This window comes from Homo sapiens, chromosome 11 (genome assembly GCF_000001405.40).
Source record: "Homo sapiens chromosome 11, GRCh38.p14 Primary Assembly".
NCBI lineage: Eukaryota > Metazoa > Chordata > Mammalia > Primates > Hominidae > Homo > Homo sapiens.
Genome location: NC_000011.10, coordinates 61,402,729 through 61,420,216, shown reverse-complemented (window position 1 = coordinate 61,420,216; position 17,488 = coordinate 61,402,729). Strand labels below are relative to the sequence as shown.

Genomic DNA, 17,488 nt, shown 5'->3' with positions numbered 1-17,488 from the left:
TGTGTTTAGTTTAGCAAGATGTCCTTTGCTTTATCAATTTTTACTAAAAGTGGAAGAGAATTTCTTTTTTCTTCTCTTGGCTGTCTACAGATTTCATTCATTTTTAATTTTTCTTTCCTAAGGTATGCTGAGGTGGTGGTAGCCTCTGAAAACTCTGTCCACAAATTGTTGGAACTCCTACCAGGGAAAGTTCTTAATGGAGAAAAAGTGGACGTGAGGCCGGCCACCCGGCAGAACCTGTCACAGTTTGAGGCACAGGCTCGGAAACGTGAGTGTGTCCGAGTCCCAAGAGGGGGTACGTGGAGACCATCTGTATGAGGGGGGGGTGTTTGTGGGTTTGTTTTCTATGGTGTAGGCTTAGCCTACAGTGTGGGTGAGTTTGGGGGAGGGTGATGGTGGTTGTGAGTGGTGTCATGGTCGACAAGTAGTCCTCAGAATAGGTCTATATAGAAGAAAGAGCATTGTGCTGGGAGTCAAGTAGGTTCAGGTTGTAGTTTGGTTCTGCCACTGACTCGTGTGACCTTGGCCAAGTCACTTTACTACTTAGGGCCTGTTTCCCCATCTGGACTAGTGACATGATGTTTAAAGTTCCATCACCTCTAAATTCTGTGTTTCTGTCTAAAACTTGGCATTAGGTGAATGGGCTTAATTTTTAAGACATGCCTCTCTATAAATTATCAAGAAGCAGCCACCCTAAAATGTAACTAAAAGGTGCCTATAATCTTTTCATAAACGTTGATTGGAAGGATACTGTAAGGAATCAACCAAGAGGAGTGTTGGAGAATAAGACTTGAACAATATTTCTCCAGCATTGTCCAGGGGAGAGGGTGCTCTTTTGATTACCAAATGTTTTAGTCTGCTTGGCAGTTATATCCCATTAGTAAAGAAAGTTACAGGCCGGGCGCGGTGGCTCACGCCTATAATCCCAGCACTTTGAGAGGCCGAGGTGGGTGGATCACGAGGTCAAGAGTTTGAGACCAGCCTGGCCAACATGGTGAAACCCCATCTCTACTAAGAATACAAAAATTAGCCGGGTGTGGGTGACACATGCCTGTAATCCCAGCTACACGGGAGACTGAGGCAGGAGAATTGCTTGACCCCGGGAGACGGAGGTTGCTGTGAGCTGAGATCAGACCACTGCACTCCAGCCTGGGCAACAGAGCAAGACTCCATCTTGGAGGGAAAATAAAAAAGTTAGGGGCTGGGCATGGTGGCTCACACCTGTAATCCCAGTGCTTTGGAAGGCTGAGGCGGGCAGATACCTGAGGTCAGGAGTTCGAGACCAGCCTGGGCAACATGGCAAAACCCTGTCTTTACTAAAAATACAAAACTTAACCAGTTATGGTGGCACATGCTTATAATCTCAGCTACTCGGGAGTCTGAGGCAGGTGAATCTCTTGAATCCAGGAGGTGGAGGTTGCAGTGACCTGAGATTGCACCACTGCCTTCCAGCCTGGGTGACAGAGTGAGACTCTGTCTCAAAAAAAAAAAAGAAAAAAGAAAGTTACCTCAGAACTACCTTAGTTTGAGGACAGTTTCCCCAATGTCCATCTTACTCTCTTTATTCTGACTGTACTCACTAAGCCACTTTCTGATGCTAATTTGGTTTCCCAATTAGGGTCTCCTACTAGGAAGAGAATTCGCTGACCAGCCGACACAAGTATTCTGGTCTGCTTGGCAATTACATTTCTCATTGTAAATTAATAAATTGGTGTTATGGTTTATGAATCAGTCTCTTGTGAGTTTGGTTAGCATGAATCAGTCTCCTAGGGCCTAGTCACCCCAGTTGAAGCAAGTTTCTGAACCTGAGAAACCTGAGGACTAGACCTTGGATTTTCCTGACCTCATAAAGTGCAGCCACCCTGCAAGACCTTCCCTGAGACAGCCAACCACCCTTATTTTCTTTTGCTACAGTGGGAGGAACAGCAAAGTTTCATCACTGATGTTCTGTCACTGCTTAGGTCCAGCTCTCAAAATAGTGCCTTGTATTGATTGGGTGTATCCTCCAGGTAGAAATAGGACCACTTTGCTCTTGCATAGGAACAGCTGTTCTTTTAACTAGATTGACAGCCTAGATAGATTTGGTGTGAACTCTTGTTGTTCCATGTTAGAAAGGACACACTCTTCTTCCTTGACAAGTTGTATTTTCAAGTCCCCTCTGTTTTGGAGTCTTTCTGTAATTCACCCCTGACTTTCCTTAGGTATGTAATTTTACAACTGTATTGGGGGTAACGTTCTACTTCTACTCAGCTACTTTTCATGTTACTTTTTTTTGCTGAAAAGATTGTGTAACTGAGTGCTGTTTTTCTGCTCTGTCATGCTGATGGACCTGGGCTCTGTTAATTCACTAAGTAAAGCTGGTGGACTTCCTCTGCATAGAAATGTTGCGTCTTTTGGGACTTGTAGCCATAGATACAAAACAACCTTTGCAGATGTGACAACAGTAGTAGCTGGGAAAGTGGTTAACTGTCAGATGACACTTGCCTTATACCTTTTTGTTCTTCAGTTTGAGAGAACTCTAGGAAAGAGCCAGTTGCCATGTGTTTGAGACCTGAAGAACAAGACAGCACTGGCACTGTTCTGTAAGAGAAATCTAGGTGGTTGTCAACATAATTGATTCCACCTTAGGCTTTACTCAGGAGCTGGGATTAACTATCATATTCTAGTTTAAGGAGCACTCTTTCCTCCACACTTGCTGCCAGTGGCATCTTTCTATCTCCAAGACCCCCCCAAAGCCATGTGATCTTGTTCTTCTATTGGATTCCACAATAAACAGGCTTAGACTGTTAAACTGGAGAGAAGGAACAAGTTTAACCAAGTGACTTGACAATGTCAGAATCCATGCTTCCAGCTGTTTAAAACATGTTCTGAGCTCCTGTTGTGCACAGCACCATACTAGCATGTGGTGATGGTGTTCCTGTTAGGCTGCCCTGAAGGGTAGAGGATTTTGGCCATTGAAATGTAGCGGGAGTTCCCCAGATTGGAGACATGTTTTGTAGCAAGCTTTTGCTAAGCATCCTTACTGTCAGCTGTGTGCTATCTGCTTGTGCTGTGGGCGGATCTTTTATTGGCGTATCTCCCAATTTTTCTTATCTTTCACTTAACCTCCAGTTGTCTAGTCTTCATGTGTGTCTCTTTCTCACCCTGATTACTAGTTTTAGTATGTAAATAGAAGTGCCATCCAGTTCCTGCCACTCCCTCTCTTCCCTTAAATTCCCTAGCCAACACCCTGTGGCAAAGAGAACATTTTAAGTGTGCAACAGGAAGAGGTTAACTAGTATTAGTTTAAGGAGAGAGGTCCTGAACTCTTCAGGAGATGTGGGGTTTCAAGTCAACTGCAATTCACCTGAACATCAGTGAACACTGTCATTTTCTCGTGGGCTATCAGGATCCTTCTACATTTAAAAATAGAAGATACATATAAGGATAAATTAAATCTGTTCTGAAGCACTTCTGGAGTTATGGATGGAAAACATTCTTTGACAGGATTTAGGACGATATTGTTTTTTGGATTTAATGTCTTCACTGAGTTGCTTCTGACCTCTGAAGCCAAAAAAAAGGCAGTAGATGATTTTACCTTCTCAGCCTCTTTAGTCACCTTCCTTTGTAGGGTGTCTGATAACTTCTGAAGGATGAACTGGTCCTGTGGGTTTGTGTAAAGCCTGGGCAGTAACATCAGTTCTGTTTTGCTTCATAGGAATACCTCCACGGGCCCATTCCCGAGATTCTAGTGATTCTGCTGATGGACGGGCCACACCCTCTGAGAACCTTGTACCCTCATCTGCTCGTGTGGATAAGCCCCCCAGTGTGCTGCCCTACTTCAATCGTCCTCCTTCGGCCCTTCCCCTGATGGGTCTGCCCCCACCACCAATTCCACCCCCACCACCTCTCTCCTCAAGCTTTGGGGTCCCTCCTCCTCCTCCTGGTATCCACTACCAGCATCTCATGCCCCCACCTCCTCGATTACCTCCTCATCTTGCTGTACCTCCCCCTGGGGCCATCCCACCTGCCCTTCACCTCAATCCAGCCTTCTTCCCCCCACCAAACGCTACAGTGGGGCCTCCACCAGATACTTACATGAAGGCCTCTGCCCCCTATAACCACCATGGCAGGTAAGGACTATTGTTCCTTTCAGATTTGAGCCAGGGTAAATAAGTGTATTAAGCATTTTATTCTCCCTGAGAAAGTGAGCACTGAATCCTTGTTCTTTCCCTTATAGACATTCTGTTATCATAGCATTGACTCCTGGGAAGTAGTACCATGTCCTTTATACCCCTTTTTAAGGTGCTTAATTAAATGCGGGAGCAGGTGTTATGAATGCTACAGATGTCTAGCATTGTTCTGTGTTATGCCAAAATTACCAAAGTGTTGTAGAGTACAGTAAAAATAATAAGGGATGTGAGCAATCAAGGATGGTATTTTCTCTGTACAGCCGAGATTCGGGCCCTCCACCCTCTACAGTGAGTGAAGCCGAATTTGAAGATATCATGAAGCGAAACAGAGCAATTTCCAGCAGTGCCATTTCCAAAGCAGTATCTGGAGCCAGTGCAGGTAACTCAGTGCTTACCTTTGCTGCCTTCTCCTTAACCTTTACTTTTTTTTCCTGATTTTGTCATTTCTACTGGCAAAAGTTCAACAAGATAAAGTTGGAGTACTGTAGATATCAAGAGCGGCATACTTTGAAGAGCAATATGTAACCTGATTTCTTGGCCTTGGGGAAGCTCCGGCAGTATTACTTAGTCTGTATCTAGGCCTGCCCTCATGAAAACCAACTTAATGCCTAGAATATAAATAATTAATACCATCTCGATGTGGTGTTTGCTGTAGAGTGAAATTCCTGCCTTGTGGAAATCTCCATCTCAGTGGTTGATCTTTAGATCTAGTGTCTGTGTAGTAGACCCAATACCAGATATAGACCCTGGGTCTTCTTTAGGAATGATGTTTTGACTGGATAATGTGTTTTTTTGTTTGTTTGTTTTGAGAGGGAGTCTTGCCCTGTCGCCCAGGCTGGAGTGCAGTGGTGCAATCTTGGCTCACTACAGCCTCCACCTCCTGGTTTCAAGCGATTCTCCTGCCTCAGCCTCCCAAGTAGCTGGGATTACAGGCACTTGCCACCACGCCCGGCTAATTTTTGTATTTTTTTGTAGAGACAGGGTTTCATCATATTGGCCAGGATGGTCTTGAACTCCTGACCACAAGTGATCCGCCTGTCTCGGCCTCCCAAAGTGCTAGGATTACAGGTGTGAGCCACCACGTCCAGCCTAGATAATGGTTTGCTATGAAATCTGATTACATTTAGGAGTCTAAGCAGAGCTGGTAGGTAGCCTATCCTAAAAAGAGGCAAGTCTGTAGATGTCATCTTAAGGCATGTTATGCCCTTACAGCTAACTTTTGCCCTGCTCTCATTATTAAGTGGGTAGAACCAGCAGCCATGATTCTGAAAGCCCTGAGCATAAGATCTTTAGTTTCTAAAAGAAGAGGCTACAGGAAGTTTCAGAGTTCTGGTCCGGTTTTCACATCGTGACATTAGCCATATTCACTTCCTTCCTGTGAGTTTCCTACATGAATGTAAATGTCTGTAGATTATCAGATCTCCTAAGAAATAAGTTAGCCCTAAATATTATCATCTGCTTTCCATCAGTTTTCATCTTTGCATCATCTTGCCAAACTTGAATCCACAGAGAAGGTTAAAGACAGAAAGTACATATGTTCCCTTCATTTTTTTCCCACCAGAAAAATCTACATTGACATCTAAATTAGTCTTTTTTAGGCCAGGTGCAGTGGCTCATGCCTGTAGTCCCAGCACTTTGGGAGGCCAAGGCCGGTAAATCACTTGAGGTCAGGAGTTTGAGACCAGCATGGCAAAACCCCATCTCTACTAATAATACAAAAATAAGCCAGGCATGGTGGCACATGCCTATAGACCCAGCTACTTGGGAGGCTGAGGCACGAGAATTGAGAATTGCTTGAACCCAGGGCGTGGAGGTTGTGGTGAGCCGAGATTGTGCCACTGCACTCCAGCCTGGGTAACAGAGTGAAACTGTGTCTCAAAAAAAAAAAAAAAAAAATTAGTCTTTTTAAATTAAAAAGTAATATATACCCATGGGTTATATGGGTTAAATACACAGAACAGTATAAAGAAAGTACTCATTGTTCCTTCTTCCTCATCAACCCTTTCACACTAAGATGATCAATAACTGAATCTTGATCTCCTGTTGTTCTCATTCCAGTCATTCAAACCACAAATACTTATTGAAGATACTACAAAAACAGGCAAAAATTCCCTGCCAGGATGGAGCTGATGTCTTCATATTCTTGTGCCTCCACTGGACAGTTTCTCCATAGTTTCTGTTCTTGTTGCCTTGCACAGAGGAAGCTGCCAGGCTTCATTTTCACTGGACCCCTGCCTGAATTCATATTTTCTTTGTATTAACTTTTGTCCTTAATGCTCTTGACTTAGCTTGGAAAAGCAAAGTGTAGGTACCCGCCCCATGACCACTATCCCTGAGCCAGGCATTACTCAGAGTTGGGAAATGAAAGGCCTAGTTTTTTATGACAGCATAAATTTTTTTTTTTTTTTTTTGAGACGAAGTCTGGCTCTATTGCCCAAGCTGGAGTAGTGCAGTGGTCTGATCCCGACTCACTGCAACCTCTCCCTCCCAGATTTAAGCAATTCTCCTGCCTCAGCCCCCCAAATAACTGGCATTACAGGTGCATGCCACACTGCCTAGCTAGTTTTTGTATTTTTAGTAGAGACCGGGTTTCACCATTTTGGCCAGGCTGGTCTCGAACTCTGGCTTCAAGTGATCCGCCCACCTCGGCCTCCCAAAGTGCTGGGATTACAAGTGTGAGCCACTGCATCCAGCCATAATTTTTTTAATGTATACATATACTACGCATACATGTTTTATGTAAATATCATATATATACACACATACATCTGATGGTAGGTTAAAAATAACTTGTAGAAATACACATTATTTAGAAAGTCTCATGAGGTACAGTGGCTCATACCTATAATCCCAGCACTTTAGGAGGCCCAGGCAGGAGGATCACTTGAGGCCAGGAATTCAAGACCAGCCTGGTCAACATAGTGAGACCCCATCTCTACAAAAAATTTTTGAAAAATAAGCCAGGTGAAGTGGCATGCAGGAGGATGGCTTGAGCCCAGGAGTTCAAGGATGCAGTGAGCTATGATCATACCACTGCTCTTCAGCCTGGATGATAAAACAAGACCCATCTCAAAAACAAAATAGTCCTCTATACAAGGACCATCAACCAATAAGACCACCTTTTATAGTTTATATTCCTCCAGAATTTTTTCTATGCATATGACAATTTATATAATTTTTATTGTTTTTACAAAAACAGGATATGGTTTTGAAACTTGCTTGTTTCAATTAGTATATTCTGGACACCTATTATATCAACATATAACATAACATTTATTGATCCTTACTGTGTGCCTGGCACTGTGCTAAGGGCTTTACATGGATTACTTTGTTTACATACAGGTTTACCTCCTGCTTTTTTAATTGTTAATAGTACATTAATAATGTAATATTCTGTAGAACCAATGTTCCTTTATATAGCCAGACCCTATTGAAGATAATATAACAAACAACACTGGCCGGGCGCAGTGGCTCATGCCTGTAATCCCAGCACTTTGGGAGGCCAAGGCGGGCGGATCACAGGGTCAGGAGATCAAGACCATCCTGGCTAACACGGTGAAACTCCGTCTCTATTAATAATACAAAACATTAGCTGGGTGTGGTGGCAGGCGCCTGTAGTCCCAGCTACTCAGGAGGCTGAGGCAGGAGGATGGCGTGAACCTGGGAGGCGGAGCTTGCAGTGAGCCGAGATCACGGCCACTGCACTCCAGCCTGGGCAACAGAGTGAGACTGTCTCAAAAAAAAAAAAAATGAAAAAAAATAAACACTAAAACACTGTTAAACATACACACTTGTGAACAGAAGTAGAAAATTTTTAATAGAATTGCTGGCTCAAAAAATATGCACATTGTTTATTTTAATAGATGTCAAATAGCCCCTGGACAACAGTGTGTCAGTTTGTTCATCTGACAACATCTGTTAAATTCCGAACTGCTGGAATATAGGTGTCATCCAGTTTTACACTTGCAACATCTGCCTTGTCTCTTTTACCGCGGTTGTTTGGGACGGCTAGCTACTCTTGGTTTGTGTCTGCCTGAGTTCTCCTTTTGGTCCAGTTAGTTTACCATCTCTCCTCACCCTTGGCCTTTCTCCTTCATCCTTTATCAGGGGATTACAGTGACGCAATTGAGACGCTGCTCACAGCCATTGCGGTTATCAAACAGTCCCGGGTTGCCAATGATGAGCGTTGCCGTGTCCTCATCTCCTCTCTTAAGGACTGTCTTCATGGCATCGAAGCCAAGTCCTACAGTGTGGGTGCCAGTGGGAGCTCTTCCAGGTGAGTTGGTGATTGTGTCCTCACCTACCAGCCCCAAGCAGCACTCTTCCAGGGATAGGGAGTGGGGACAAATGGAGCCCAGGGAATCTGGGAAAGACCTGGCCGAAAGTCTGGACGTTAGCCTTCATGTCTTTTTGGGGAAGAAACTAATCAGATGCTTTCATTAATAAGTGTTGTAACATCTGGAATCTGGTGGGTGAGGCAGTGGGCTCATGTAGGAAAAAATACAGACAGATATTTTTAAGAACATGGGTTTTGGAGCCCTACAAGCTTGGATTGGAATCCCAGTTCTGCTGCTAACTATCTGTATGACCTTCTTGTGTATGGAAGTTAGTCAACTTTCCAAGCCTTATTTTTCTCATTTTCTAAAAAAGGGACACTGATAGTATTTATCTTACAGACCTGTTGTAAAGATTAGGTCAGATAATCCATACAAAATTATTAGCACTACACCTGATAAATTAGTTCTCAACAGATAAATTTACCTGTTAATCATCTTCCCAAAAAAGAGTAGTCCTCAAAGAGCTAAAATCCTCAGACAGCAGGCCCATGATAGAGTAATAGAGGAATAGTTTAGGCAAATATCAGAAGACACCAAAACACCACATTCTTGGAAAGAAAGTGGTAGGCCTTCTGAGTGAGGCTGAAGGATCTTTCTAATAGGAAAAGACATCGCTCCCGGGAAAGGTCACCTAGCCGGTCCCGGGAGAGCAGCAGGAGGCACCGGGATCTGCTTCATAATGAAGATCGGCATGATGATTATTTCCAAGAAAGGAACCGGGAGCATGAGAGACACCGGGATAGAGAACGGGACCGGCACCACTGAGAAAGGTGGGGAGAAGCCCCGTTCCTGGCTGCTGGGGGATTTTTTATTAAAAAAAGATTTATAGTGAAGAATTCTCTCTCTTTAAAGCAAAAGTAAATGCAGCAAGGGTAGGGGGAACTTCTGATTTACATAACTGGAATTTCAGGGCAGATTTTCTGCACATTTATGGGGAGTCTTACCCTGAGATTCAGCTGTTTCTGCTTGTTTCTTGACTGCCTTAACCTGGTATCTGAGTGAGAGTATGGTGTCTGCATTCAGGTACCAATTTGAATCCCAGTTTCTCCACTAATAATTGGCCATATTACTTTCTGTTCCACAGTTTCATTTGTAAATGAAGATAATAAAAGCAACTGTCCCAGTGACTTGCTAAGTTTTAGTGAGAGAGTCCATGTAGACCATTTAGCACTCATGGTACCTGTCACATAGTAAGTTCTCAATAATTAATAGCCATTGTTATTATCATTATGAACTTTCAATTTAAATTAGGAAAATTGACTAAGAATAGTAAAGCCATTGCCACTTAGTTTTCAAGCTGCAACATTAATGATTTTAAGAATTAGGCTTGGCATGATGGCTCACACCTATGATCCCAGCACTTTGGGAGGCCAAGATGGGAGGATTGTTTGAGCCAGGAGTTCGAGACCAGCCTGGGCAACATAGGGAGACCCTGTCTCTACAAAAAATACAAAAATTAGCCAAGTGTGGTGGTCCCAGCTACTTAGGAGGTGGAGGTGGGAGGGTTGCTTGAGCCTAGGAGGTCGAGGCTGCAGTGATCTGTGATTGCACCACTGCACTCTGGCCTGAGCGACAGTGAGACCTTGTCTGAAAAAAGGTAGGGAGGAGGGGCGGGTGGGTGCCTCATGCCTGTAATCCCATCACTTCAGTAATTTGGGAGGCAGAGGCTAGAGGATCACTTAAGCAGGAGTTTGAGACCAGCCTGAGCAACATAGTGAAACCCTATCTTTTTTTTTTTGAGACAGAGCCTCACTTTGCCGCCCACGCTGGAGTATAGTGGCATGATCTCAGCTCACTGCAACCCCCACTTCCCGGGTTCAAGCTATTCTGCCTCAGCCTCCCCAGCAGCTGGGGCTACAGGCGCGCGTCACCACGCCCGCTAATTTTTCTGTTTTTAGTAGAGGCGGGGCTTTACCATACTGGCCAGGTTGGCCTTGAACTCCTGACTTCGTGATCAGCCCACCTTGGCCTCCCAAAGTGCTAGGATTACAGGCGTGAGCCACCATGCCTGGCCGAGACCCCATCTCTTTAAAAAAAAAAAAACGGTTTATTTAAAAGATTTTGAAAATTAATATGCTTTAGTCAGAGAGGAGAAAGCTGATCTGAAAAATTATCTTTAACAGGTTTAGAGGCTTTGTGGTGGATAATTAACTTCAACGGAAGGGTTTTTTGCTTTTGGAAAAGACTTAGTGACAAGGTTGTTTATTTTGTTGTTGTGTTTTTTGTTTTGTTTTGTTTTGAGACAGAGTCTCACTCTTGCCCAGGCTGGAGTGCAGTGGCGCAATCTCGGCTCACTGCAAACTCCACCTCCCGGGTTCAAGCAATTCTCTGCCTCAGCCTCCCGAGTAGCTGGGATTACAAGCGCCCACCACCACGCCCGGCTAATTTTTGTATTTTCAGTAGAGACGGGGTTTCATCATCTCGGCCAGGCTGGTCTTGAACTCCTGACCTCGTGATCCACCTGACTCGGCCTCCCAAAGTGCTGGGATTACAGGCGTGAGCCACCGCACCCGGCTGTTTTTTTGTTTTGTTTTGTTTTGTTTTTGTTTTTGTTTTTTTAATAGACACATTGTCTCACTCTGTCACCCAGGCTGGAGTGCACTGTCATGAGGCACCATCATGGCTCTGTAACATCAACCTCCTGGGCTCAGGTGATCCTCCTGCCTCAGCCTCCTGAGGGCTAATTTTTAAATTTTTTGTAGAGTCTTGCTTTGTTGCCCAGGCTGGTCTTGAACTCCTGGCCTCAAGTGATCCCCCTGCCTCAGCCTCCCAATGTGCTGTGGGATTATGGGCATGAAGCCACTGCGACTGGCTGTAATTTTCTTTTGAAGCAAAATGAAAGCAGGAAGGTTGGGATAAAAACTCTTAAGTAATGGAGAAGTTCAGTTAAGATTGGTTGGATCCAGGGGCTCTGGCTGTGTCATCCAGACTTTATCTGCATCTCTCAGCTCTGCTTTTCTCTGTTGCTTTCATTCTTAGACAGGCTCCATATTGGTAGGGAGTCAGAGGGGGTGCTGTGTCTTTAGGTTGCATCCTACCAGCTTAGCAATCCCAACTGAAGGAAAACTTCTGGAAAGATTGTTTCTATTATATAAGCATATAGGAGCAGGTGTTGTCTCTGCTTCTATGGAAATCTTTAAAATAGGCCAGAGTGGCTAGGGGTCTGTCTGTAGTTCTTGGAGGCTACTGCGTGACCCAGGTAACTTCAGGGTCCTTTCTTAATTTTGTGGTTGCAGATTTATAAGTCTCTAGGACTTCCCATTTCTCTGTCTCACATCAAGTACATTAGGAAGATGTCCTTGGCCGAGCACGGTGGCTCACACCTGAAATCCCAGCACTTTGGGAGGCCAAGGTGGGTGGATCACGAGGTCAGGAGATTGAGACCGTCCTGGCTAACATGGTGAAACCCCGTCTCTATCCCGACCGAGACCATCCTGGCTAACACGGTGAAACCCCATCTCTACTAAAAATACACACAAAAAAATTAGCCGGGCATGGTGGCAGGTGCCTGTAGTCCCAGCTACTCAGGAGGCTGAGGCAGGAGAATGGCATGAACCCGGGAGGCAGAGCTTGCAGTGAGCCGAGATCGCGCCACTGTACTCCAGCCTGGGCGACAGAGTGAGACTCTGTCTCAAAAAAAAAAAAAAAAAGATGTCCTTGATTATTTGCCTGCTTGATCTAAAGTAATGGTAATTGAAAAGGAAGGTGAGGGGAAAGAATAGTAGTTCTTTTTGGTGTCTTTGGGATGGCGATATCTGGATGAAGAAGGACAAAGAAACTCACCACCTGTGAGCCCCTATAGTTCATGAGCAGTAGCTGGAATGTAAATAGTTGGAAAATTAGCAGTATTTTGCCCAGTGACAACCTACTAAAAACCAAAATACTCCTTTTAGGTTTGGCTACTGCCCTCTGTCTTGTTCTTTGGCCATTAGCTTAAATAGATTTATAGCCAGGAATTGTTTTTATCTTCTCCCAAACAAGTAAGTGGAAAGATGAAAAATTACTAATATTTTTTGTCTCTGTTCTCTGTTGTTAGCCACTCATTTATTCCACAAAATCCTAGAGTGCTTAACATCATTGAAATCTAGGTTAACTCATGTAGAATCAACAGTTAGGCTGTGGGCTCCAGGTACTTCTTTCTAGATTTTGCAACAGGTTGAGTTTGGGGAGATGCCCATGTATCCTCTGGAAAAGCAGACGCTATTGTAGATGGAGACCACAAACAACTTTGGCCTAATTCAGTCTCAGGTGGGCATGAGGGCAGGCATTAGAGTTGGTCTTGGTCCAGTCCTAACTCCCTTTTCTTGTTTGAGTCTGCACAGTTGCTAGTGTTACTTGTGGGTTGAAAAGCACATGTAGGCTACAGTGTATGTCTTTTGGAGCTGACTGGGATAAGAGTGAACAGGAAGGTGATGATTGACCTGTGCAGAGCATGCACTGTCGTCTTTGGGGCTGCATTCAGTTTAGTAGTTAGAACATAAATGCATGTCACCATTCCTGATGGCTTTGCTCCTGACAGCCTTATGACAGGGAAATTACCAGCGAGATCCACTGATCCAGCAGTAGTTTGAGAATTAAACATCTCAACCTGAGTCTTTAGCTGTCACTTTGCATTATTTCTTCCACTTATAAAATGGGGCCAGGCACAGTGGCTCATGCCTGTAACTTCAACACTTTGGGAGGCCGAGAGGGGCAGATCGCTTGAGCTCAGGGACCAGCCTGAGGAACATGGCAAAACACTCGTCTCTACCAGAGATACAAAACTAGCTGGGCATGGTGATGTGCTCCTGTAGTCCCAGCTACTTGGGGGTGCTGAGGCAGGAGGAGTCCCAGCTACTTGGGGGCACTTAGGTGGGAGGATCACTTGAGCCCGGGAGATAGAGGCTGCAGTGAGCCATGTTTGTGCCACTGCACTCCAGCCTGGGCAATAGAGCAAGACCCTGTCTCAAAAAAAATAGTAATAAAAATAAAATAAGATGAGACTATTTCTCCCATTATGAGGATAACTCTCTTTTGGTAACTTTGAAAATGCTGTAACAATATTGCCTAGAAAACAGTCATTTGACTTGTGTAGGCCCATGACAAGATGGGAAAAATTAACTCTGAGGCAGGTTTTCTACTTCCTCACTTTTCCTGGTCACCCGTTTGATATAGTGGTTATTGCATCTGAATAATAGTCTGAAAGAACTGAATCAGGCACCCCAAGAATGTCAATTTCTTACATTCTCACCCTAAGGACTCTTAATTCCATCTGTAGTGACCAAGTTATGGCTTAGGAAGTTTCATGTTGGGAAGATGGTACATGGTCCTCATTTATAGCAACCTTTTAGTTAGAAATGAATCATATTTATATTCTATGATGACAGCTGTTCCCTGAGAGTGAAAGGTACATTTTGTCCAGAGGCAGCAATAGAACAGTAGCCTTCTTTGTCCATCTTTTCTCGGCGTAAGACCCAGTTCTGGGGCCTGAAGGCTAATTGGCCCACTTGAAGGAATCTCTGATTTCTGCCTGCATTCCAACATTGGCACCAAAATGTAGCCATGGAGATTTAAGAATTCAGTGCTATGGCTTGCTTCTCTTGGTGTACAAGTTATCCTCTGCAACCTGTGTCTTCAACTTTTTGTAGTTCTCAACTATGTCAGTTATCTCATTATTTTAGGACATTATCCTACTTGAAATATAGTCATTCTCACGTCATTCCTGTCCTCGTTATCCATTGAAAACTGAGCTTTCTCTTCAATTTGGATCGAATTCAAAGATTCAGAAGCCCTAATGGTATGTAATTGAGTGCACTGAGGGCTTCAGTTTTCCCTTAGAGAAAATGGGACAAATACCAGCCTGCGTAGGTGTTTAGACAGGCCAGGAAGGCTTAGGCCATATAGATTCTGAGGACCCAAGCTGAAAATAGTGTCATTTCGGTGTGTACAAGGATCAGGGAGGACGTAGATGTCTCCTCTAGGTTTTATAAGGCCACTTTACAGAAGTAGTTATATAAAAGGTAAACATTTGTGCGTAGGCTGTGTTGCCAGTTTGGGCATTAGGAGAAATTCTAATTCCTCATTTTCCCTTTGGCTATTAATTCTGTTTAATATGCTCAGACTGACCATACCACCACCCGCAGATGGGTATTGCAGCATTGGAACAGGTGCTGAGTATAGTAGGAACTTTGTTTGGTGGCCATGTGACAGGTGGCTTAATAGACCCTTTTGGGTAAAACTTCTTAACTGCATTTAGGTTTCTTCCATGCTCTGCTTTCTGTTCTGGCCTGGCCACGTGACTCCTGCTTAGTGTTAGTATGTTTCCTGGTTCCTCACCTATGGCTGTCATGCGAGGAAAGACTTAAAATCTCGAGTTTTAGTACACTTGGAAAACCTCTGGGGCTGTGTTTGTGTACACACATACTCATAAAGGCACTTTTAGCCAGGACTCCTTTAAAAAGAAAAAAGAAGGATTTAAGAGTTTCCTGTGTATGTGCATCCTGCCTGCTAGGGCCTCTTGGGTGTTTGGGGATTAATGGATTTGGTTGTGTACATACTTGTTTTCTTACCACTAAACCTCCCATTTCCAGATTTTTCCCCCTCCCCTTAAGGTAAGCTATGACTTGCACAGAATAGACTTCTTAACCTATATTTAAACTCACCTTATTCCCTTTTAGCAACTTTTCTTGAAATATGTCACAGTTTCCATACTTTTGCAGCCAAAGTCTCCTTTTCAGTCGAACGTTCAGAGACCTCATTTTGTTCTGTTTTTTCACCGAATCTTTATAGTGGATGTCACTGCTTTTTTTCTCTCTACTCACAGTAGCTTCTCCTCCAGCCATTCCTCACCACTTCTAGTGTCAGACAGTCCTGCTTTGTTTTCCCAGACTTGCATTCTCTGTCTGCATTCCTTACTTCTTATGTTGTAGCGTTAGAATATGTGTGTTTTATATAAGCCCCTGTCATTCAGAAAGTAACCTCTAACTTGTGTTTTCTTTCTTTTCTTCTGATGTTCTCATTGCAGGAGTCTGGTTGGAAGCAAATGTTTTTTTAATGGACTTGCATCTCCTCACCTTGATCAGGACTAAAGGACGGAGGCCGCCCCACCCCCTTCCCTTTCCTCCAAACCCCTAACTCCCTCCAGACACCCAGGGAATACCCTCTGCCCCACAGGATTGAAGACTGCTTGGCAGTCCTCCCAATCCCACACCTCCTGTTTGCCAGGGGAAAGAACCTAAAGACTTCGTGTGATTGGGAGGGGTGGCAGACAGGAAGAAAACATGTCCAGGCCCCTGGTCTCCATAGAGAATGGTGCTTTGTCCAAGAAAACGTATGAGTTTCTGATTCTCCGGGAGCCGTTCAATGGTGAGGTTGATGGGAAGACTTCCTTCCCAAAGAAAATAGATCCTCCATGCAGGATCTAGGAGAGTGACTGGGTGTGCCAAAATATGCCCAGGGTCCTGCCCTCAGCACTAGATTTAATGGGGCCAAGAGGGTCCAAACCCCTTGCTAACATACCACTTCTTTGTTTAACTCCTTTACCTTTCCAGCCCTTTGAGGAGGGACCATGAGAACAGAAATTACCTTATGAAAAGCTACTTCTGTTCCTGCTTTCCCTCTCACGTATTGACGGTTTATTTCTTTGACCTCCCAGAGGGCTGAACTCTTTCAACTCTGCGCTGCCCAGCCTTCTCAGTGGACTTGCCCCTCCTAAGCAGAGAAGGCCTATGAGGTTGCTTGCTGCTGGGAAGCCTGGCAGAGCCAATTACCACCCTCTGCTGCTTAGTGCTTGGGTACCTCTTGCAATAACCAGCTCTTAGTTGTTCCCTTTCCCTGGGGCTTTTCCATTTAACACATGGAGCCCTTCCCCCAGAAGGCTACTTCCTTGTTTTAGAGGAAGGTACTGCCCATTGGGAGATGGGGACATTGGGACCTCAGCAATGAAGAACCCTTGTGAAGTAACCAGGAGGAATGGGGAAAGAAGCAAGTTGGGCAGGATATGGCCTACTTCCATAGGCTTTTCTTTTTTCAGGTTTGATGTAAGCATGGGCTTACATCCCCCAGGTACATACTTTTACTTATTGTGGGATAACCTGGCACTAGTAGGCAGGTAAAGTCACAAATTTGGTGTCTTTTCACCTTTTGACTGTTGACTTAATAGCTCCTCTCACTCTGCCTGGAGATACTTCCTGCCTCAGATGAGGAGCCAGAAGAAACAGAGCCCGACTTGAATGAACTCAGCTCAGAGTTCTAAGGACCAGCATTCTGGGGGCCATTTTCTCTACAGGCAAATGGAATTGCTTTTCCATAACATCCAAATTGTAATGTGGTTGCTGCTGAAGGAGGAGGCAGCAGCGAGGTCCTGCGGTACCCATGGGGTGATGCTACTTCTGCATGCATCTACAGGGCATCTGACACCTAACATGAGACGTGGCATGTGAGATGAGACTTGGCATGTGAGACATAGGGTCACTAGAGACCCTTCTGGGTCAGAGGAGAGAGACTGAATTGGACTAAACCCGTCCTCTGTTCCCAGCACGTTTCTCATATAGCCCTCAGTCACTGAGGGAGTCCCCCGCAGGATTGGAGAGGCACATTCCCTTGGGACAGAGGCTACAGGTTGGAGCTTTTTTTCCCCTGTCCCCCAACCCCATCCCCACCTCCACTTCAGAACATGGCACCCCACCCAACTGGCCAAGTGTTAAGTGATGTGCTTATTGAGAGCAACTCCGGGTGTCTTTTAAAATGTAGAGAAAAGGTGACAGTTTAAGGAAAAATATATATAGAATACCAGAAATGCCGTTTACCCGGAGAATTTTTTTCTCCCCATTTGTTTTGTTTTTACTCAATGACACCATTTTTAGTTTTATTTCCTGATAGCAAAAGGAAAAAAAACACCCATCCCTCAAAAAGGCCAAGGTCCCGTCCCCCTGTTGTCGGTGATTTGTTTGTCTTTCTGATAGGTTGAAAATTGTGTAATAAACTTGATGACGCTGTCAA

At 44.5% G+C, this 17,488-nt stretch overlaps 1 protein-coding gene across 25 annotated transcripts in view; it reads left to right on the top strand.

Annotated features, from left to right (window-relative positions):
• Positions 1–17,488, top strand: part of CPSF7 (cleavage and polyadenylation specific factor 7) — a 27,247-nt gene extending 9,759 nt beyond the window's left edge. For 8 of the 25 annotated variants that reach the window (NR_165418.1, NR_165416.1, NR_165414.1 and 5 more), the window contains 6 exons: positions 123–268; positions 3,698–4,112; positions 4,433–4,551; positions 8,280–8,448; positions 9,112–9,279; positions 15,513–17,488. Coding sequence is in view for 17 of the 25 variants with exons in the window: in NM_001142565.3 (NP_001136037.1) it covers positions 123–268; positions 3,698–4,112; positions 4,433–4,551; positions 8,280–8,448; positions 9,112–9,274 (1,012 nt within the window). In the remaining 8 variants the exon portion in view is untranslated. Of the gene's footprint in view, positions 1–122; positions 296–3,697; positions 4,113–4,432; positions 4,552–8,279; positions 8,449–9,111; positions 9,637–15,512 lie in introns of those variants that run through there. The other 17 variants (NR_165415.1, NR_165419.1, NR_165417.1 and 14 more) reach the window with 5 other exon arrangements.